Source organism: Homo sapiens, chromosome 3 (genome assembly GCF_000001405.40).
Source record: "Homo sapiens chromosome 3, GRCh38.p14 Primary Assembly".
In the NCBI taxonomy this organism is placed as follows: Eukaryota; Metazoa; Chordata; class Mammalia; order Primates; family Hominidae; genus Homo; species Homo sapiens.
The window spans coordinates 175,248,157-175,272,100 of NC_000003.12; the positions used below are offsets into that span (position 1 = coordinate 175,248,157).

At 33.8% G+C, this 23,944-nt stretch overlaps 1 protein-coding gene and 1 long non-coding RNA gene across 24 annotated transcripts in view; one reads left to right on the top strand and one right to left on the bottom strand.

Moving 5' to 3' along the window:
* The window catches only part of NAALADL2-AS2 (NAALADL2 antisense RNA 2), a 36,005-nt gene extending 13,065 nt beyond the window's left edge, over nt 1-22,940 (bottom strand). The window contains exon 1 of the long non-coding RNA NR_046713.1: nt 22,901-22,940. This is a non-coding gene — a long non-coding RNA (NAALADL2 antisense RNA 2). The remainder of the gene's footprint in view (nt 1-22,900) is intronic.
* NAALADL2 (N-acetylated alpha-linked acidic dipeptidase like 2) overlaps nt 1-23,944 on the top strand; it is a 1,369,567-nt gene that overhangs the window by 807,175 nt on the left and 538,448 nt on the right. For all 23 annotated transcript variants that reach the window (XM_017006077.3, XM_047447876.1, XM_017006075.3 and 20 more), the window contains one exon: nt 8,255-8,374. In XM_017006077.3, coding sequence (XP_016861566.1) covers nt 8,255-8,374 — 120 coding nt within the window. The remainder of the gene's footprint in view (nt 1-8,254; nt 8,375-23,944) is intronic.

Below are 23,944 nucleotides of genomic sequence, written 5' to 3' on the forward strand. Positions count from 1 at the left end.
AGTCAGGCTGTCAATCTTTGAATTACTGTTCTACTATTTAGTAGCTCTGTGACTGTGAAAATGTTACTTACCATCTCCTTGCCTTGATTTCTTTATTTGTAAAAAGGGGGGATGATTCCAGTAACTTATCTCTTCTCTTTGAACTGTTGTCATGATTAGAGATGATAATGAATACATAATACTTGTAACAGTGCTGGGTATATAGAATGTACTTAATAAAAATATTTGTTTTTGGTGGTGGTAGTTCTGGATCACTCAATAACTGAAAACAAGTTTATGTATCGATTTATTATTTATTGTCTTTCACCATCTTCTAGGGAGTCCCTAGCTAATTTCAACACATCTTGTCTCACTTGAAGCTCCAAATACAAATCTCTCTCTCTCTCTCCATTAAGTGATTTATGGTTCTTCTTTTTCAGCATTAATTTCTCTGTTTGGATATATACACATATTCAGTCATTTATTCATTCACTTATTTTATTTAGTTCCTACTGTGTGCCAATAACTGTTTTTGGTGCTCAGAACAGAAAGATTGCCGTGGCCACTGTGTGAATGTATGAAGGCGTCCCTATGTGTTCTTATCTGCATATGCCACATCTGTACATAAATATGTATTCAAATATATATCCATATAGTATTATTATATGATTTTTTATAATCAACTGCAATCATAGTTGCAAACAAAAACTAGGAAGCCTAGTTGTTTTGTTATTGCCAAACAATATAAATATCTCATTTTCAATGAATAATATAGCTGTCTGACATAAGGTGTGTAGAGCCATTGTATCAAACAGAATTATATAGTTCTATCAGAATCACCTTTGTGATATCACCAATTTTGGTCTAGAGTCAATGTTTGTTTCTATCTAGTGTGATTATTGACATTTAGGGAGTACAACTGAATAGGAATTAGTAGATTATTTATTTAGTTTGGAAATAGCTACTCTTGTTTATTTTTTGTGTGCGTATATGAGGAAGTTGAGCTCGATCAGTTTGAAAAGTTTTCATTTATTTATTTTCTTTATTAATAAGGTAGACACTTTTTGTTTCTTGGCATTATACTTTATTTTCTCCCAAATTTTATTTATTACCTGAAAAAAGTATTTTTTGTAAGTTAAAATTCTAATTAAAGATTGAATCTTTCATTTGTGAAAAGTTTGATATTTAAAATAATAGAGGATTATCCATATTAGAGAAATTAATGTGAAATAGAAATGAATTATTTTATCCCCATTGCCATATTTATTAAACAATTTGACACAAAATATCTTTGAATCATTTTACTCTACCTGTTTTTTAAAAAAGGTATAAATTTAATATTTGCATTTATTCTCTATCACTGATGATAGATATTTTTATTTTTTATTTGAATTACTTTATTGATCATATTATTTCTCTCTCACATACGTCACATATATCTCAATGAATATAGAGTACTCTTCTGGAAACAAAAATTATTGTGTTGGAAGTTATTTTTTATTAACTTCCAAGTAGTTTTGTTCCTCCCAGTATAAAAGTCTTATTTTGAGCAAAGTGAGAACTTTAGGGTAACTAAGTAATATACATTCTAGGGCCCCTCTATGGACTGACTTGTGTCTTCTTTCCCAGAATTCATCCATTGATCCTAGACCCTCTAGTGTGACTATATTTGAGAATTTCCCCTACAAGAAGGCATTTAAGGTTAAATGAGGTCACAAGGGTTGGGTCCTGATCTGATAAGATTATATTCTTGCCGGGTGCAGTGGCTCACGCCTGTAATCCCAGCAACTTTGGGAGGCCGAGGCAGACGGATCATCTGAGGTCGGGAGTTCGAGACCAGCCTAACCAACATGGAGAAACTCCGTCTATACTAAAAATGCAAAATTAGCCGGGCGTGGTGGCGCATGCCTGTAATCCCAGCTACTCAGGAAGGCTGAGGCAGGAGAATCGCTTGAACCCGGGAGTGGAGGTTGCCGTTAGTCAAGATCGTGCCACTGCACTCCAGCCTGGGCAACAAGAGCAAAATTCGGTCTTAAAAAAAAAAAAAAAAAGAGCGATTAGTATTCTTATAAGAATAGATACCTGAGAGTTTGCTCTCTCTTTTTCTCTCACTTTTTCTGTGTGTGTGTGTGTGTGTGTGTGTGTGTGTGTGTGGTGTGTTTGTCATGTGGGGACATAGTGAGAAGCTGATTGTCCACAAGCCAGTAGGAGAGCCATTGCCAGAAACCTAATTGGCTAGCACCTTGATCTTGAATTCTTAGCCTCCATAACTCAGATAATAAATTTGTGTTGTTTAAGCCATCCAGCCTATGGTATTTTGTTATGACAGCCAATTCTCAGAGATTCTGGTTTGATAGTTCTTGAATGGGACATGGAATCTGAAATTTTAACAATAGTCATTACTCAACAAATTGATTTGCTGTGTTTAATTCAGTGGTGCCCTCAACAGTGTCTTTCTCTAGTGGCCACCAAATGCCCATTGTTCCTTCCAATGAAAAGACCTTCTGAAGGTGACTAGAAACAATCTAGTGCCATCCTTGAATTCTAGTCATATAAGTTGGACAGCTTCTTTTACCTCTCTGAGCATCATTTTCCTTATCTATAAAACAGTGACAATGCAAGATTGCTATCTGAAGAAAATAGGATATTATATGCAATGTTCCTAGCACATAATAGGAGCTCACTAAATGTTTTCTTTTCCTTAGTTACATCTGTTTTACAAGTCTGAAGCTTGATCTGTGTAATAGTACATTTCTTCATTATAACATGGGATCCCTGTTAGCATGCCGTTGATAAACAACATCTTTGTCTGAGTGATGTATTTAACGCTTTATGGCACCCATAAAAAGAAGAGGGCAACCTATCTGATTTGGTTTCCAGAGGAGCCAGATGAGGGAAACGAGATTTCTATAAAAACGAGGTTTTTATTTTAAAATGTTTGTGATCTATGGCACTCAAATTAAAAACCATAGAACCACTGATACATAGAATGCCACTTTAAAAAATTAACTTTTTAAAGTGTGGAAATCTTTGTCACAGCTCTGCGTATGTGGCCCACCACTCTTTGTCGTCATCCCAAAACTTTGATTCCTTTTTTAACATAGAATAAGATATTTTATTTCCTTTTCAATTGTTGCTGTTGTGTTTAGTTCCTTGTTCTTGGTTATAAAAATGAATGTATAGAATCTGAATTAAAAATTAACATGTAGACTTTTAAATATTTCTCTCTGGTAAAATAAAATGTAAAACAGGAACTAAGTCGCACGTCTCAATTACTCTCTCTTATGTGCCAAGGCAGTCCTTAGACTTCCTTTTCATTAGAAAAACTGTGGTACAGAATGGATAGCTTAAGTAACTAGATTTGTGCTCATTTGACATTTCCCATAGAGACCAGTAAGATGTGTCTTAATCATTGGTATTTGGTTGTAAGTTAACATAGTACCCCAACTAGTTGAGTGAACAGTTTTCTAGTGTGACAGAATAAATGCGGAAAGAAGAGGTTCATTGTAGCAACAAGAATATGTGGAAAAAATGACTTGGCATTTTATCATATCATTGTATATTGATTTGTGCCTCAAAAAATTCAATGTGCTTTCCTGCAGCTGTGATGTTCAGTTTGCTTGAAAGTCTATAGAAAAGACTTTCAAAAAGGATCTAGTTTTAAGGCTTGCTTTGAAGGCAATGGATACATTTTTATTATTGCCTGCAAATCCATCAAAACATTGAGACTTCTGTAATTATTGATTTTTAGTGCATAAGCCAAAATAAATTGATACAACGTTGTCTGTATTTAGAACTATTTTTTGTGGGAAAAACTACAAATCCTCTTACATGCTAAAACACTTTGATTTATTAACATGTACTATTTAGAGAAGATGAGTTGAAGAGCTATTTAATTAAAATTGTTGACTCAGCCTATTGATATGTTCCAATATTGTAAATGTCTTTTGAAGAATTTGTATTTTTGTACCTGTCATACCTTTCTGTTATACAGGCATATCTGGATTTATTGTGTTTCACCTTAGGGTGCTTCACAGATACTGTGTTTTCAACAATTTGAAGGTCACGGCAACCCTGCATTTAGCAAGTCTGTTGGTACCATTTTTTTCAGCACCTGTGCTCAGCTCACATCTCTATGTCACTTTTTGATAATTCCTGCAATATTCCAATCTTTTTCATTATGGTTATATGTGTTAGGGTTATCTGTGATCAGTAATCTCAGATGTTACCATTGTCCATTGTTATTATTTTGAGGCACCAGGAAATGCACCCATATAAGACAGCAAACTGACTCAATAAATATTATTGAATTCTGACTGCTGTACCCACCAGCCATTTGCCATCTCCCTCCCTCTCCTGGGCCTCCCTCTCCTGGGCCTCTGTATTCCCTGAAACAAAACAATATTGAAATGAAACCAATTAAGAATCCTACAATGGCCTCTAAGTGAAAGGAAGAGTTACATGTCTCTCACTTTCAATAAGAAGAAATGATTAAGCTTAGTAAGGAAGGCAGGTCAAAAGCCAAGATAGGTCACAAGCTAGATCCCTTGTGTCAAACAGCCAAGTTGTGAATGCTAAGGAAAAGTTCTTGGAAGCAATTAAAATGCTACTCTAGTGAACACATGAATAATTAGAGAGCAAAACAGCCCTATTGCTGATATGGAGAAAGTTTGAGTGATCAGGATAGAAGATCAAACAAACCACAACATTTTATTTAGCCAAAGCCTAATCCAGAGCAAGCCCCTAACTCTTTTCAGTTGTGTGAAAGCTGCGAGATATGAGGAAGCTGCAGAAGTTTGAAGTTAACAGGGGTTGATCCATGAGGTTTAAGAAAAGAAGCTATCTCCATGACATAAAAGTACAGGGTGAATCAGCATCTTCTAATATAGAAGCCACAGAGAGTTATCTGTAAGACCTAGTTAAGGTACTAATGAAAGTGGCTACACTAAACAAGAGATTTTCCGTGTAGACAAAACAGCCTTAGGTTGGAAGAAGATGTCATCTAATACATTCATAGCTAGAGAGAAGAAGGCTAGGCCAGGCTTCCAAGCTCCAAAGGTAAGGCTGACTCTCGTTAGGATGTAATGCTGCTGGTGACTTGAAGTTGAAGCCAGTGCTCATTTACCATTCTAAAAATGCTAGGGTCCTTAAGAATTATGCTAAGCCTACCCTGCTGTGCTTTAGAAATGGAACAACAAAGACTGGATAACAGCAAATATGTTTACACATGGACTACTGAATAACAATATTCAACCTCACTGTTGAGACCTACTGCTCTGAAAAAAAGATTCCTTTCAAAAAATTATTGCTCTCTGTCAATGTACCTGGTCACCCAAGAGCTCCGATGGTGATGTACAGGAGGTTCATGTTGTTTTCAAAGCTACTAACACAACATCCATTCTACAGCCCTTAGATTATAGAGTAATTTCAACTTTCAAGTCTTATTATTTAAGAAATATATTTGTAAGATTGTAGCTTCCCCAGATAGTGATTCCACTGATAAATCTGAGAAAGTACATAGAAAACTTTCTGGAAAGGATACACCATTCTAAATGCCATTAGCCACATTTGTGGTTCGTGAGAGCAGGTCAAAATATCAGCATTAACGGGAGTTTGAAAGAAATTGGTTTCAACCCTTATAGACGAGTTTGAGGGGTTCAAGATTTTAAGGAGGTAACTGCAGAGGTGGTGGAAATAGCAAGGAAACTAGAATTTGAAGTTGAACCTGAAGATGTGACTAAATTGTTGCAATGTCATGATGAAACTTGAACGGATGAAGAGTTATTTCTTATGGATGAATAACGAAAGTGGTTTTTTGAGATGGAATCTACTTCTAGACTCTATCTTTCCAATTCCCGGGAACATTGTTGAAATGACAACAAAGGATTTAGAATACTACGTAAACTGAGTTCATTAAAGCAGCAATAGGGTTTTTGAGATAATTGACACCAATTTTAAAGAAGTTCTATTTTGGGTAAAATGCTATCAAACAGCATGTCATGAGAGATACAGAGAAATATTTTATCAAAGGAAGAGTCAGTTGATGTGGCAAACTTCACTGTTGTCTTATTTTAAGAAATTACCAAAGCCACCCTAACCTTTAGCAACTGTGACCCTGATCAGTTAGCAGCCACTAACATTGAGGCAAGACCTTTCACTAGCAAAAATATAAAAATGTACTGAACACTCAGACCAATAAAGTATTTTTAAATTTGTTTTAGACATAATGCTACTGCACACTTAATAGACTACAATATAGTGTGAACATAACTATTATATATATGGGAAAAACCCAAAATCTGTGTGATTCACTTTATTGCAATATTTGCTTTACTGTGGTAGTATGGAACTGAACTTGCAATCTCTGATGTATGCCTGTATACACAATCTGATCTATATCCTCCAAAACAAGTAAGGTTTTCCTTGACCTCTGCTACATATAAAAAAAGTTCACTTACATTACCAATTGAGTAATAGCCTTATTATAAGATGCTGTCAGTGAATCACAAATAATTAGTAGGTAGCTTAGAAATCAAATGAAAAATAGGAATTTTTCTCACTTTTGCAATGTAATCATTAATATTATGTGATCATTTACTTAATCAGACTTTTAAAATCATATATCAACAGTTATTTATATGGTAATGGTATCAGCCAACTAAAAAATGTATTAAAGGCACTGATTTAATCATTTTTAATAGGAATAAAATTATAATGAAAATCATTCTGACAGAAGTGTTTTTAACAATTAAATTTCCCTGACAAATGCATTTGAAAGTACAGCTTAACTTTTTAGAGATATTGTATGAGCTATAATCATTTTGATTCAACCCTACTGAGTCCATAGCATATGCTGGACACCTGGGCGAGTATGGGTATGTAATGGGCTCTTCACCAAGGAATTTCCCTGTATTGGAAACTGAAACTGGCAGACATGTCTAGTGAGGGCCTTAAGAGAGGCAAAAACAGATTACTCTGGGAGCCAAAGTAGAGAGAGGCCATATTTGGGCAACAGATAAATAAAATTCATCAGGTAGGTGACATTTGAAATGAACGTTAATGTATTCATAGAGTTTTTACAGATACAGATGAATGTGATGGCTGAAGAAATATTTCATGCCAGAAATATTTTCTCTAACAGATTTACAGATCTCTTGGAGGTATTCATATGTTCCTATAGAAACAATGCTCTTTCTTCAGATGAATCTTTTATGGAAGTATTATGTATGAAACTTGTTGAAGTGCATTAGTTTCAATCGAGAAGGATGGAAAGCTGGTGATCTGGATTCTCCATCTTTATTTTTTTCATGATTTGCCATGACTAACTGTTTTCTTTTTTAATCAGCCTCTCTGTGGATATATGCTATAATTTGAAATAGCAGATTTACATTATAATATAATCATTGGAAAGCATAACAACTATTGTTTTAATAATAAATAGATATTACAGAGAGTAAAGCTAAAATCAATCGTCTTGGCCCATAGGAATATATGAATCTGCAGTTCAGTGCTTTTTAAGGAGAAGGAAAGGATTCACTACAAGAGAAGGTTTTTATTGAAATCTCCAGAAAGGCATGAGATTTTTTCTTTTTTGCATTAACACAGAGGACTTATAAAAATGGGTAACATTGAGGTCAAATGTAACTCTAGGTGAGTAGTGGGAAATGTGACAGAAATGATAATTTGGGGCCATGTTCTAAAGTCCTGGGTTGCTAGACTGCCACATGTGGTTGAACAGGTTGTATTCTGCACGACTCAAGGATTTGTCATTCACAGCTGGCTATTGCACAATGTTGAATGGAGCATCATGAGCAGCTGTTCAGGATGACCATGCAAGTGAGGACATTGCACTTAATTTGGATAGCAATAGAAAACCTTTGAATTTTCTTTCAAGCCTGAGCATTATATAATTGCTGTTGAACCTTAAGGAAATTAATCTTTCAATGTTTTGTAAAATGGCTCATATTCCAGAAACATGAATGTAGAATATCCCAAATGTCTGTTAGAAGAATGAACTGTGTTTGTAATTTTTTAGAAGAGAGAGAGAGCAAAGCAAAAATGACTCACACATTTTCTCTAGTGCCCAGAAGAATTGCTGTACCTTGATAGAAATAGAAAGGTCATGTTTATGGTAATTGGGACAGGGTAAGAGATAGAATTAATTCTATATTGAACATTTCAAATTATGATGAATAATTTTGTTATACTAAATGGACAATTGGCTATACTTCTTCCTCTGAGGCTTTATTTTTCTTTGTTTTTTCTCCTCTTTCAGGCTGAAGTCATCGATGTGAGTTATGGAATGGCAGATGATTTAAAAAGGATTAGGAAAATAAAAAACGTAACAAATCAGATCGCACTCCTGAAATTAGGAAAATTGCCACTGCTTTATAAGGTTGGTCCAGTGAATGTTATTCAGTGGTTTGGTCAATATTTTGCCTTGTTTTGTTGGAATTATATGCTTTTGTGAGTGTGGAGTGTGTGTGTGCATATAGGTGTGTGAGAGAGAGAAGGGGAGAGGAAGAAAGAGAGGCAGAGAGTGTCACAGAAAGATGGCTTTTCCACATTAGAACATTTTAATTTAAGATATTTAAGAACAATATATTTATGCCCTTATTTCTTTAGAGAGAAAATACCTTAAGTCAGGTAACACTGAGTTTGTGGGACCTTAATAAAATTGGCATACTCTTCATAATGGTACCTATCTGGAATAGTAAAAAATGAGAACCACCCTGTGTTCATCTTATGACATATGTGAAACTTCTAATCTATTATCAAATGGACTAATTATCATGTTCTCTATGTTAGACAAGTATCTAGATGATTTACACCCTTTAGTGATTATTTTGTCAACTATACAACTACAGTTACTAACTGTGATCAGGATTTTAATTAAAATATAATTGCTAAGAGTAGCAGAATTTTGATTTATTTTATTTGAATGGAAGTTTATTAACACTCATCCACAGATACACTTATGTAATTAAGTTTCTGATGATGAACCAGCACAATAGACAGCCACTACTGCTCATTCTTGCTTCATTTCCTTTTTCTATTTAAAAAAAAAAAAAAAAAAAATTAGTGTAGTTATGTCAGCAAAACTCTCTGCTTCTGAAGATATATTGGATTTCTCCTCATTCAACCTTAAATGAGCTTTGCTAACTCCCAGGTCCAAAAACATTTCCAGGAATCTCTTGGCACACTCTATTAGGAAACTAGAGAACATCCTATGTCTGTTTTTTTTTTATTATCTTCCAATAATACTCTTATCCTTAAATCAGTGTTTAATAGTAGATTAGATGGGCCAGAATTTTAAGATACTCTTGAAAACAGAATATACAGTGATACTAAATTTTTGCTGGATAATTTTTAATATGTATTAAAAGCCTTAAAATAATCATATTTTAACCCAGAATTTCCTGTTCAATCAATGTATTCTAAGGTTGGGGTCAGGGTGGGGGGGCACACAGAGGTGATAAACATAGTAATGCCCGATGATGTGACAAAATATTAGAAATGATATATACATCCAATTTAGTATTTGAAAATCATGCTGCCTTTATACTGATTTTCTGAATATGCTATAACAATTTGATGTAAAGGAGAATATTTAATGACATGTAAAAATCCTCATAAATCAAAAAAAAGATCAAGAGAACATTTATAATAATTACAATACTAGTGATTTTATTATTGCCTATGAAGGTAACATTATTAATGACATGTGCTAGATAATTTTCTAAGCCTTTAAAAAATGTATTATATTAATCTTCAAAATAATCATATTGTTGAGGTAGGGACTATTATTATCTTCAGATTATAAATGGAGTAAGACACAAAAAGAAAAAGTGACTGGCTCAAAGACAAAGAGCTAGTTAAATGAAACGATGGGGCCAGGCGCGGTGTCTCACACCTGTAATCCCAGCACTTCTGGAGGCCGAGGTGGGCAGAGCACGAGGTCAGGAGATTGAGACCATCTTGGCCAACATGGTGAAACCCTGTCTCTACTAAAAATACAAAAAATTAGCCAGGCGTGGTGGCGGGCGCCTGTAGTCCCAGCTACTTGGGAGGCTGAGGCAAGAGAATCGCTTGAACCCGGGAGGCAGAACTTGCAATGAGCCGAGATCACGCCACTGCACTCCAGCCTGGGCAACAGAGGGCGAGACTCCGTCCCTCCGCCCCCACCACCAAAAAAAAAAAAAAAAAAAGAAAGAAACAATCAGGCTTTCAACCCAGGCAGTCTCATTTCAGATCCCGTCTTGAATGTGTATGTATACTTGCCTGTGTGGGGTGGAGTGGTGGGAGCTAGAATACATCAATAGATAGAGAGATAATTAAGAGGCTAAATTAGAATTTTTAGCTAGGATTCCATGATAAAGAAACGTGAACATTTCAAAGTTAGCTACCAAGCATCAATATTTTAAAGGAAATAATGTAAAATAGGTTAGACTATTAAACCTATCACTCATATCTGAGATAGAAAAGGTTTGGAGATTGTGGGGAGAGGATTTTATGAAGAGGAATTTTGGAGAGATTTATGATAAGTTCAGCTGCATGCCTGGTGACTGGGGCTTCAATGGAACCACATGGAGGGCTTAATGTATGTCCCCTGCAATGTGGGGGACGTGATAGAATGGTGTCTGATTTATCTGAGAAGCCTAAAGGTAAGAGATGGGTTTACTAAGCATTTAATAAATAAATACAAAAATAAATTATCTGTGTTGACATTGGCCTGCATCCCATGAGTAGGCAGCAGAAAAATAAATATGCATGCGTTTCCCATGGGTCAGTCATAAGCACATGTGACAGAGAGCCAGTGTGGTCTGCCTTCACGCCTGTACTGAAATTGCCACTTGTAATGGTGACTCATTAGGCAGTGACCAGCCAGATTAAAGCGGCATTTGTCTACATCAAGTAAATTGCAGTAGGTACTGCTTCAGTTAATTCACAAATGCCCAGGAGATCCAAAGGCAGCTTTAAACATCTGTGAGCCCCAGAACGTGTGGAGCTTCCATAGGACAAGCACAGTAACATAAGAAAAATCCTACCCACTGAACCTCTAATTTCTAAGCCTTCTCCAACAACAGATAGGTAAGAGTATAGTTAATACATTGGGAAGGAAATAACAGACCACACCCCTTTCCCCAAAAGCAGACCTGAGCTGGTGGAGGGGCAAGAAGATACGATTTTAAATCAAGAGTAGAATTTTGATCATGATGAGACTAGGAAACCTAATTACTTATTTAAGACTCTGCTAACTCAAATCAATTATAGGACTTTTATTATTAACAATAGTCAGAGGAATAGTGGGACAGTCCAACTTTTTATGTAGGTGTTTCAGGAAAAATGAACCTCTAGGGATACTTTTAAAAGAGTAATGGGAAAGAAAGTTCTATTGCTTTTGGTACATTACATGAATTTTCCTTGTTCAACCTACCAGTGACAAAAATGTGTGTGGTAGGGGCCAATTATATAACTGGTTAGATAGAATTATGGATAATTTCTACTTTTCCGTTATATTTTGCATTTCTAAATGTTCTATAATTGTTGTGTATTTATTTTGTATACAGAAACAAGCTTTTGAAAATTCAGGTTAAAATACAGCAATTATAATTTTTTCTAACCTGGCCGGTCATGGTGGCTCACACCTGTAATGCCAGCACCTTTGGATCACGTAAGCCCAGGAGTTCAAGACCAGCCTGGCCAATATGGCAAAACCCTGTCTCTACCAAAAATTCAAAAATTAGCTGGGTGTGGTGGTGCGCACCTATAATGCCAGCTACTTGGGAGACTGAGGCACGAGCATCGCTTGAACCCGGGAGGTGGAGGTTGTAGTGAGCCAGGATTTCACCACTGCACTCCAGCCTGGGTGACAGAATGAAACTCCATTAAAAAAAAAAATTCTAACTGTGCTCAGAGGTCAAATACTGAAAATCTTCACCAGTATATGATGGATTAAAACAAAGCAAGTTTCTTTGTATTTGCTACAGATAATATTTACATTATAAAACCCTTTGACTATATTTACAAAGTAGTGAGTTAGTGGTTTATCTGGAATAGGGCACAGCTATAAAGATCCTGATATCATTTTCCCTGATAATTTTCCTTCTAGGCCTATTAAATAAATTTAAAAAAAATTTCTGTGTAGAATGCCCCTTGAGACAGAGCCTTGCCACAAACTTGGCATTGTCTTCTAGAAAGAGGAGATAGGAGGTCCTCTCTGCAACCCTGTAATTTCCATTCTAGTCATCTCTTCTGTTTTCTGTGGATTGTCCCAGAGATTTGGGGGAACTCATTGCTGCTGTATCTTTCAATATACATTCCATTGGTAAGAAAAAGGAAGCATGTATTAAACATAGTTATGCAGCATGATTACGGCCCAATTTGCTTCAACTGTCCATCAAATATATTCTGGAGCTAAAATTCAGAAATGAGGTAAAATGTAATTCAGCTGGGTTGAAAAAGGCAGAAAACCAACAGACTTCTTTATGAATCAACAGTTAGTCATGATTCTAAATGAACATTTTGTCTGGGAACATGCAGCTGAATGAGTAAAGAGAAGTTCATTTTATTTTGGCTGTGCAGTAGTTACTAAATCAGCGTTTAAAAATGAATTTGGGAGGGAATCTCTACATCCGAGCTAGGGAGGGCAAAGGGGAAGCATAATTATGATATTAAATTATTAGATTATCTCTTGAAATGAGGAGAAAAATAATCTGCAGTCATGAAGGAGGAGATCTCATTGGTTTGATCATAAATACTAAGAATGTATGTAATTTAATCTCTAGGAAGAGATTGATGAGAAAATCCCAACATTGCAGGGTAGGAACTATGAACTGCAAATGGCTTTCTGATATGTGCTGTGAAATCCACATCTTGCTGCAGAAAAAGCATCGACCAAGTTCCCCAGTTATAGTTGTGCTAGTTTCCTCAAGCTGAAGACTTAGAGGAAAGGCTTTAGGTTCATTTTAGCTACGTATTTATAACAGTTTATTTTTTGGGAGAGTGCTTTAAATATTTAAACTTTTAGACAAACATTAATTCGTCACAATGTACTCACATTTCTCTCAGTGACAACCTGACACATAGTAAAACAGATACCGAGACCCTCACAAAATCCCAAACTGCAGAATAGCACTCTAGTATGGAAATTAATTTTATAAAATTCAATGAAAGCATTTGACTTTCTACTTAGGGTCATTTCTACCAGAAGCAATAATAACAAAAAGTTACTGTGTACTACAAGACAACTAGAAATCAAGGAAATCCCTCTGAAACATGGAGGTTGGGCTGTTGTCTAAATCCACAGTACATATCAACCCCCTTTCCTGTAGAAGCCAATTTTGTGTGCAGTGAAATTACAGATGAATATATATCTTGATTAATTATCCATTTGTGCATAATTAAATTACACAAAAAATCCAAAAACTCTATTGCTTTTTTTTATAAATGCAGTAATATGCATCACTACCTAGTACTTTCTGTAATATACTAAGATATTAGTCAATATTAGCTAGTTTTTTCATTATTCTTATATACTTTTTTATCCTTATAATGACAATTTTAAAGGGCCAGACATCCAAATGATTTTGTAGTTTCCTACAAATGAAACATTTTTGTGTATTCATCAGATAAGATTTATATTTTAATATAAATAGAAACTAGTATAAGCAAATGGCTTTTAGATATGTGACTTGACATCTACATATTGTTGTCCCTTATTGGGCCAGTGTATAACTTCAGCACTGCTTAAGTCCATAAAGCATGCTTAGACAGACAAGCCTTTGGAAAGAGCCTGGAGGAAAATGAGAGATAGGAAATGAGAATTGGTATTTGTTTGTACTTTCAAGTAAATTGCTTCTTGCAAATTACGGAGGAGTAGCATTATTTAAAGAAAAGCAGACTTGACACTCTGAATTTCAAACACAACTGAATCCAGAAAATAATTACATTTAAAATATTGAGTTAGAGGTTTAGTGAGAAAATATTTATATATATTGGTGATTTACAATCAATAGTTAATGAATGGACAATGGGAAGATCAATAAGAAATCCTCTAGTTTTGGCAGCTAAAGTTAATGCTGAGAAATATTACATTTTGATAACTTATTTTACATGAAGCATTTGCATACCTGTGATATTTGCTGAACTAAAAGTTTCATTTATTCTAGTTTCCTTTTTGTTTCCCTTAAGAACATTTGTTCAATCCAAATGATAAATGCAGTCAAAAGAATATTGTTTTATTTATTCTAATTATTAGAAACCAACATTTGCTCTACTTTTCTTGCGGTAGAAGTTGGTGGAACTCTATTTTTTGTTTCCCAAAAATAAAATCTGTAGATGCATTTAATTAGTTAGCCTTAAAGATATAGGGTGCCTAATGCAATGGGCACAAAAAAGGAAATCAATATTTAACAGATAAAATATTCATGTTGTGTGAGTGTGTGTGTGTGTGTGTGTGTGTGTGTGTGTGTATGAGCTGTATGTATGAGCACTGATATGGCCTAATGTAATGAGGCAGTGGGGCCAAAAAGATAGGAAAGAAGAGAAAGACACCTTTCCTATTGAAGCTTTTGATACATCATAATTTTCCCTGGTATGAATGAACTGAAGAAATCTCTTTAAGTGACATTCTATGAATATTTTACATGAAAACAAATCTTTAATTCAGTGTCACAAATGATGTTTTTACATATGATCTGTATAGGAAGGCAAACTTGCCTCTTTTTTTATTAAGACAACTTTTGAAGACATTTTATGAACAAAAATGAAAAGCAAACACTATCTTGGTACTTTAAAATAACATGCTTGTTCACTGAATAATTTAATAAGGCACTTCTTACCTAATTCTCAGAAGTAATTGCAAAAAAAAAAAAAACAAAAAACAATGTCTCCATCTTTTATGATTCTAAGACTCCAGAGCTGCTCCATTTGTCATGGACAACATGGTCAGCACTAGAATACAAAATTGGAAAGTAATAGTTTAATGTTTTGAAAGCTAAATCTGCTGCTGTTTTCAAATCAGACTACTTTCTGTTTTCCAATGATGGAAGTAAATTATTTTTAAATGATTTAAACCAAATATTACTATATCTACAAAGGGTATTTTTTGTTGAGATACAACTTCAAACATGGGTTATAATATAAAGACTTAAGACTGTGTCATTATTCTGCAATTTAGCAATCAAACTTTAAAAAAGTAAATTTAGAGCAAGAATAACTGAAAGTTTCAACTTCTATTCCTGTTTTTAAAGTATTTTCCATGGCTTAAAACCAAATAAAAGTGTGTCTACGAATCTTCAAAGTCTGTCAAGAATTGAATGCATAATTTAGAAGTCATGCATGTGTTTTGCCTACATGAAAATATAATTTAATTGTACTTTTGAACCATTTGAAAATTACGACATCATAGCAAATGGCATCATGTATCAGAAGGTTGATTTTCGCATATTTCTTATTGTAATATAGTTAGCATTCATAATCCCCATGTATGTATACAAAGTTAACAATATTAAATAAAGGTGCTGAGCATCTTGTTTTTCCTAATTAAATGTTATAAATTAAACAAAGTAAAATAGCAAGGAAGAGAGAGAGAAAACAGTGATGGAGAGATGAAGAAAAGAAGGGAGGAAGGGAAAGAAACAGCAGCTAATCCCTTCTATACAGTTCGCCCCCTAAAAGTACCCATGTTTCAGAAATATTTATATATATATTATATAGTACTCTAAAATTTAAAACAGTAAGCTCTAGCTATATTTTGGTCTAAACTGTTGGGCAATTACTTGGGCTTATCAATATAGATATCTGCTGTGGTGCTTTGTGGTAATACTGACCTCTTCTTTCACATTTCAGCTTTTCCCTCTTCCTCTGTATCTCGTTTAAAATGTCCATTTTTCCTCCTGTTGATAAGCTTCACAGCCCTTCCAATCTTCTGTACTGCTATCTGCTCAACTTGTAACTCATTTTAAATAGTGAAACACAGCATTGCAGGATGCAAGAATGGGAGAAACAAGCTCAATTTCAAGCTCTTCTACTTCATAGTTATGTGATCATAGAATTATTACTGAACCCCACTAAAGTCACACAAGTTTTTTCTTATTTTTTATTTTTTGGTTTTCAAAATCTCTACATTGATGACAAAAATACTCTCAATTCATAAGGTTGTGTGAAGATTAAATCTGAAAATGCATGCATGATAAATTCTTAATAAATATTAACTTTTATATATGAAGCCCTTAATATCTGTATGAGGTTCTAAAGAGAAAGGGCATGAATTTAATGATGGAGAAGTGTGACAGCTCACTCAAACATGCAAACCTAAACTGAAGATAATAATATACTTAATAAATCCATTACAGACAAAGTATTAGTCTCTCAAGACTGCACCTTTGTGTTATTCAGCACTAAGGATTGTGTTGGTGCTTTGTAGCGTAATTTGATCTTTGAGTTAAACAGAAAAAAAACTGAAGTCTTCAAATTGTTTTTGTGGAATAAAACAGATATAAATAAATGAATAAATTAATGTTAAAAATAAATATAACTTGACTTTAAATTATGGAGAAATATAAATAATGTCATAAGATGGTACATGCTTTAGATTTTTACATCCTTCAGTGTTTATTTTTATGCATATACTTTTTATTAAGGTGATGAAATTATATAATATTAGAAAAACAATATTTTTAAAAATTAGAAGTATATTACATTTATAGAATAGTTTTATTCTAATACACATTTTAATTTATTTTCCAAAGTTGAGATATCAAGTATGGTTCCCAAAAACCATATCACAAAATTGTGAATATCGTGTAATAGCCTACATCATAAAGTTGTGAAAAATAATTGAAATAATATAATACATGTAAGTACTCAACACAATGCCTGGCACATACTAAACATTCATCGAAAGTCAGCTGACATTTAATTTAATCATATGGAAAGATTTTATCAAGAACTATATTTTCTCCTTGGATTATATTTTCCTAGTGGTTACTATTCTATGGACTCAAAATGTAAGTTTTGTCATTTGCTAAATGGTAGAACCCCTGCTCTGTTTGTTTTAAGTTGAAACTCAGGACTTCAAGGCTTAGATTTATTTCCGGAATGGTTATGACATTGAAATTCTAGTTCATTGTTTTCTTATGTATTTCAGTTTACAATATCCTAAAACTGACTTTGTGATTTAGCATAGTTACTTTCATTTCTGCATTGATATTTCATAGGTAAGATGGTGCTTAAGAAACAAACAAATAAATAAACCCTTAATTCTATACCAATAGAGTTTTAAAAGAATTAACTTGAGGTCTAATTATTAGTCACTATATATATGGCTCTAAGTTCTCGCTCATTTTCTCTTTTTGTCTGACTGTCTCTTGATAAATATTGCTTAATTATTATTACTATCTTGCTTAAGAACACATTGCTAAGGAGCATTAGGCAGCAGTTTGAATTTTACTATCTGTTACTATAAAATATGTGGAGGCAGAATTAAATTACTTTTGGAAGGAAACATTATTGGAAATTTAATATCTGTTTGGGAAAAAAATACTTCTCCCTAAAACTTTTGTAATTAAAATTATAACTGCCCAACGTATATGGTTTTGAAATCAATCAATGTCTTATTTTTATAACAAATTAGCCTGTAATAAGCTATAAAAACTTAAATCTATACAAACAGAAAATATTTTCAATTGAACTTTGAAAACAATATGCACTCAATAAAATATTATTTTAATAAGTAACTGCTAATATATGTTAATTTATTATCCTCATGAATATTCATTAAATTGCTTTTTAACTGAAAATATATATTTGCTGTATTTATGCAAACACTATTGGGTTTATAGATCATATATATTATAGTTAAGAATAAAGCTTTTGTAGTTTTAATATCGAGCAGTTAAAAAAAGCCTTTATATTGCAGGTAAAAAAGGTACTTCTTATTTACTAGATTTGCATTTCAAAATTTCATTAAGTCTATGTAATTTTATTTTGTATATTTTCTCTCATATTGCATTTTAGAATACACCCGGTAATCTCATTTATTTTAAATATCTTATGAATTTTCCTAAATTAATATATTCATAGTTACTTGAATATTATAACCATCTAACATCTTAATTATTTAAATATTTTAATCATCTAATATTTAAATTTAAACATACAACACAAAATTTTAATCAATATTGGAATAATTTTACATTTTAAATCAATTTTTTATTAAAAAATTAGGAAAGGTCAGATTATATAATCTAGAAATATACATAGTACAATAGAAGACTTAAATTTTGCCTAATATTCATAATTAAGGAAGAACCACCAGAAAATCCTTTAGATAAAGTTATATTTATTCTTCAAGATTTAGTTCTAATTTCCCTTTTGTTTCAATCTAAATCTCATTACTTTGTTAGCTTGTTAAAATGACTATTCCCTACCATTCAGTGAAGAGCTAGTGTGCTTGGGCTTCATAAGTAGATAAAATACTCCTATTAAACTCCTTTTATAATTCTTATACAAAGATAATTTTCAGGAAGTTGTAGGGTAAATTTCGTCATATATAAACATGAGTCATAGAATGAAATTCAGAAATAACTCTTATAGTTCCAACAAGCCATGCTTGCCTAACATTTTTCCAATACCCACATTAATGATTGTCTTAATATAACTTCTTTGTTTATAATAATAATAGCATATCAATAATTAAATAATAGTACAACCTGGTGAAGGTATTATGGATATTAAAACACCTGTGATATAATCCAATATTGTATTCCTGTTCTGTTAAAAAGGACAATTTTGATACTTTGCTTTGTCTTACATTTTGGCTATTATCAAACCTTATGATTGGTTTTATAAATTTTAAAAGTTCAAAGCTTTCTTAGCTTTAGAGTAAAACTAGTAAAAAAAAAAAAGTGTGCTAATTGATCAATTAAAATTCAATTGGCCCTTCTTCCAATTATACTATTAATATAACAGGCAGGCAAGCATTGTTGTAGCTATTTCAAATCTTTCCTTACTGAGAAGTTTTCTGTGACTTCTACAGAAGGTTATAGGCAAAACATATATAAAAGTATTTTCCTTGTGGTTTTAAGAAAATCTTATTATGAATCACTAAATACGTAGGATTTTTCCTTTGTTTTGAGTGGCTTTATAAATTGTGTGCTCTAATTGATTATAAAACATGTAGCTCCAATCCAGTTTAAAAATAAGGAACACACCCTAATAAGGCAAATGCTTAGTTGTACCCAATTAAGTAATTTATTTTTTTTACCTCTGCATTCAGCTTTATAAAAACCCTCTGTTCACATTGCTAACTCAGAGCTCCCCAAACCTTCTTCAGTTTTGAGTAATGCCTGACTCATAGATCCTTTTATGCTCAAATAAACTCTGTTAAATTTATTTTGTCTAAAGTTTTTCTTTTTAAAAAGACAGTTTATATCAGGATAATACTAATTTAGTATGCTTCACATTGGAAAATGGGTGAGAATATAATATCTGGGGTGATGGGAGTGGGGGCAAAAAGAGGTACCTAGAGACATTCTTTACAGTTCTGACATGAGTGGTCTTCATGTGTACATTTGCATCACGTGTACATGAGAGGTCTCCCTGTCCACATTTGTTTATACTTAAAATGAATTTCCAACCTCACATCCCATGAGTAGAGAATCTGAACAATTATATGGGATTTGAGTCCCAGCTCTACTATTTAATTGCTGTAAGTCAGTGGTCAAACTTTTTAAACATTCTAAGACTTCATTTTGTCCTTGTAAAACCAGTGTAATGATAGTGTTGTCTTCATATCACCTAGCCTTTAGTAAATGCTCAATAAACATTTATTATATTGTTATTGTTTTGTAACCATGGTAAGGAACAGTTCCTACTTTCACTGAAGGTGTTTTAAAACATAGTTACTTGAATAATACAGGCATGCATCACTTAACAAAGGGGATACATTCTCAGAAATGCCTCATTAGATGATTTCGTTGTTGTTGTTGGTGTTGTGCTGGTATCATGGAGTGTACTTAGACAAACTTAGATGGTGTAGCCTACTGCGTATCTAGTCTATAAGGTATAGCCTATTGCTCCCAGAATACAGATATTGCCATGCTGAATACTGCAGGCAATTATAATGTAGTAGTAAGTATTTGTGTATCTAAACATCTCTAAACATAGAAAAAGTACAGTAAAAATATGATATAAGAGACAAAAACTGGTATACCTGTATAGGGCACTTAGCGTCAGTAGAGCTTGCAGGACTGGAAGTTGCTCTAGGTGTCAGTGAGTGAGTGGTGGGTGAATGTGAAGGCCTAGGACCTTATTAAACACTACTGTAGACTTTATAAACACTTTACAATTAGACTACAGTATATTTGTTTACAAATATTTTTCTTTTTAATAATAAATTAATCTTATGTTACTATAGCTTTTTTACTTTATGAACTTTTTACTTTTTTAAACTGTTCAACTCTTGTAATTAACACTTAGCTTAAAACGCATTGCACACCTGACAAAAATATTTTTGTTTATATCCTTGTTCTATAGAAGTCCTTTTCTATTTTTAAAATTTTATTTATTGTTTTATTTTTTAAACTTTTTGGTTAAAAACTAAGAAACACAGACACTTTAGCCAAGGCCTACACAGGGTCTGGATCAGTATCACTGTCTTCCACCTCCATGTCTTGTCCCACTGGAAGTTTTTCAGGGACAGTAACATGCATGGAGCTGTCATCTCCTATGATAACAATACCTTCTTCTGAAATGCCTCCTGAAAGATCTGACTTGAGGTTGTTTTACAGTTAACTATTTAATTTTTTTTTTTTTTTTGAGACGGTCTCCCTCTGTCACCCAGGCTGAAATGCAGTGGCATGATCTCAGCTCACTACAACCTCTGTCTCCCAGGTTCAAGCGATCCTCTTGCCTCAGCCTCCCAAGTAGCTAGGATTACAGATGTGTGCCACCATGCCTGACTAATATTTGTATTTTCAGTAGAGACGGGATTTCACCATGTTGACCGGGCTGGTCTTGAACTCCTAGCCTCAAGTGATCCATTCCCCTCAGCCTCCCAAAATGCTGAGATTACAGGTGTGAGCCACAGCACCTGACCAAAATTTATTTTATATATAAGTAGGAGAAGTACACTCTAAAATAGCAAAAATATACATAGTATAGTAAATACACAAACCACTAATATAGTTGATTATTATCAAGTGTGTACATAATTGCATGTGCTATACTTTTATACAATTGGCAGGGCAGTAAGTTTGTTGACAGCAGCATCACCACAAACATGTAAGTAATATGTTGCACTACAACGTTAGGACACTCTGATGTCACTTGCTGATAGGAAAATTTCAGCTCCGTTATAATCTTACGTGACCGCTGTTGTGTACGGGATCATTCCTTGACCAAAATGACCTGTGCGGAGCCACGACTTTGTCTGTATGACGCTAGTTTACTTTCAGATACACACTCTCAGGTAAACACTCCTTATCTTCCTAAAAATTCCTGTATAAGTAGGATGGTCACTGCTGTATGGTAAGTAACTGCTTCTCAGGGAGTTTGAATGTCTTATCCAATGTTGTACATTTATTTTTCAGAGAGCTAGTGCTGTTATTCCAAACCTAGGGCTCTTTATGATCCTCGCAGTTTGTTTATTTATTTGTGTTTATGAATAAATATTTAAGATAGCTTCTCTCAGTATTAGCACCATTGTGCCTTCAATCATGGTTCTTTACTACCAAACAAATATGTTTTCAGATTACTTTCACATGGTTCAGAATGAGAGAGATACACAGAGAAAGATAAAGGAAATGTAAGAAAATTAATAACTGGTGAAGTCAGGTAATAAATATGTGAGAATTTATCATACTATATTTTTCATTTCTATTAAAATCCTTAAAATAAAAATTTTCAAAATAAATAAATGTGGGGGGAAAAGCAGCCAGGATTCCCAACAACTGCCTGAAAATGCCTCTAACCATTTTAGCATTAATTTAGCTTATTTGCTTCCCCCATGGGAGCTGATTGAGTGGTTACAATACATGCTTTCAATTTGGACAAGATTTCTCATTTATGTGGAGAGTGTTTCAGTCCACTTCTGCCCTTAGTCAATCAAGCATACTAATCAGAGGATTCAGACTCACCAATTTAGCTGTCCAAAGCCCAACTTGACTTAAGGGGTGAAAAATATCACTTGATATTCTCCCTGCAGAGTATGGTAAAAATCAACTAGTAGGTTGGATATGGTCATTACGGTTAAATCACTCTTCATCCAAACTGACTGATTTTTTATATTTTTATCAGATTACTGACAGCCAGGGAGACATAGCCTCAGGCACCTAAACAAAAGAATGCTGAATGTGAATTGCTGTTGAATTTGTTCCCAACCAGAGTGCTGGTGAAACCACAGGGCAATTGTATATCGGAGCTCATTTATTATGAGCAAAGAGTTCTCATTAACTTCTCCGGGAAAATGTTGCCATTAAATCTTATCTTGAATGAGAAGAATTTGTAACTTGAAAATGTTTATGAATATTTCATAAGAATCGTCTTAGGGTGCGTGCTTGTGTGTGATAGCCTGGCAAAGGTTGACAGATATGTGGAATACTGTAATGACTTGATGGATGCATATGGAATGTTTAATGGAAAAAGTGAAAAGTGCCTGCTGGGCCTCTGTAAACCTCTTCCAGTATAGTACTGATTTTACTGTGCTGTCAACAAAATCCTCACAAAAAGAAATAGTTTGTGAGTAAATGAATTGAAAATGACAGGATTATTTTATTGCACTAAATAGGCCTATAAGAAATATGTTTGGGATTAAGGGTTAGTTTTTCATTCTGTATTTATTTTTATTAAAACACATTTTAAAAATTCATATATGTATAAAGGAGTTCTTAATGAATAGGCATGCACATTTACTTACTGCTTTGATGTCTCAAAATCCCTGAGGAATTTCACCAAGTTTCACAGTAACAGGGGGATATGAGTAGTTTGGCAATAGAGCAGCAAAGTCTATGAGAATCATAAGGATATCAAAGAAGAAAACAAAAGTTACTGATTTAATCTTAGAGAAAGAAAAAGATATACAAAAGTGGAAAAATAATTTTTTCCCAAGCATTGTTTATTGGTAGATTATCAAGTTTGGTTTGGTTTGCTCTATTTTAAAATGATAGAATAAATTTAGAAATAGATTTAAAAAAAATTGATGGATTAGGAAAACGTGAATTATTTAATTGAGAGTTTTTAAATCTGTTACAAAAAAAGCCTGAGAAGAAAGTCAAGCACAGTCTTCATGCACATGAAAGAGTATTTGTGGGTTATAAAATTAGGACCTTTTCCAATTTTTGCAAAAGTTAAAGCTATAAAATAGGCACTTAGGCCGGTGTGGTGGCTCACATCTGTAATCCCAGCACTTTGGCAGGCCGAGGTGGGTGGATCACCTGAGGTCAGGAGCTCGAGACCAGCCTGGCCAAGATGGTGAAACCCCATTTCTACTAAAAATACAAAAATTCGCCGGGTGTGGTGGCGCACGCCTGTAATCCCAGCTACTCAGGAGGCTGAGACAGGGCAATCATTTGAACAAGGGGGGAGGCAGAGGTTGCAGTGAGCCGAGGTCGTGCCACTGCACTCCTGCCTGGGTGACAGAGTGAGACTTCGTCTCAAAGTAAATTAAATTAAATTAAAAAGCCGCCACTTAAATTGTGCAAAGTATATTAAGATTACCCATAAATAATCTTATAAAATAAGACTGATTAAATACTGGAAAAACTTCCAAAGATGGCTGTCCCTGTCTGTTTTTAGAAATTCTAGAATATCTAATGAATTATATAATATTTCCTGATTCCTTTTAAAATTAATTAGGTATATTTAGTATATGTTGCATACTAGCCATCCACCCTTCTCTTTAGATCACGTTAGCCCCTGGTAAGAAGAAAACTTCCAAACAAAAAGTAAGAAGCCCAGAACG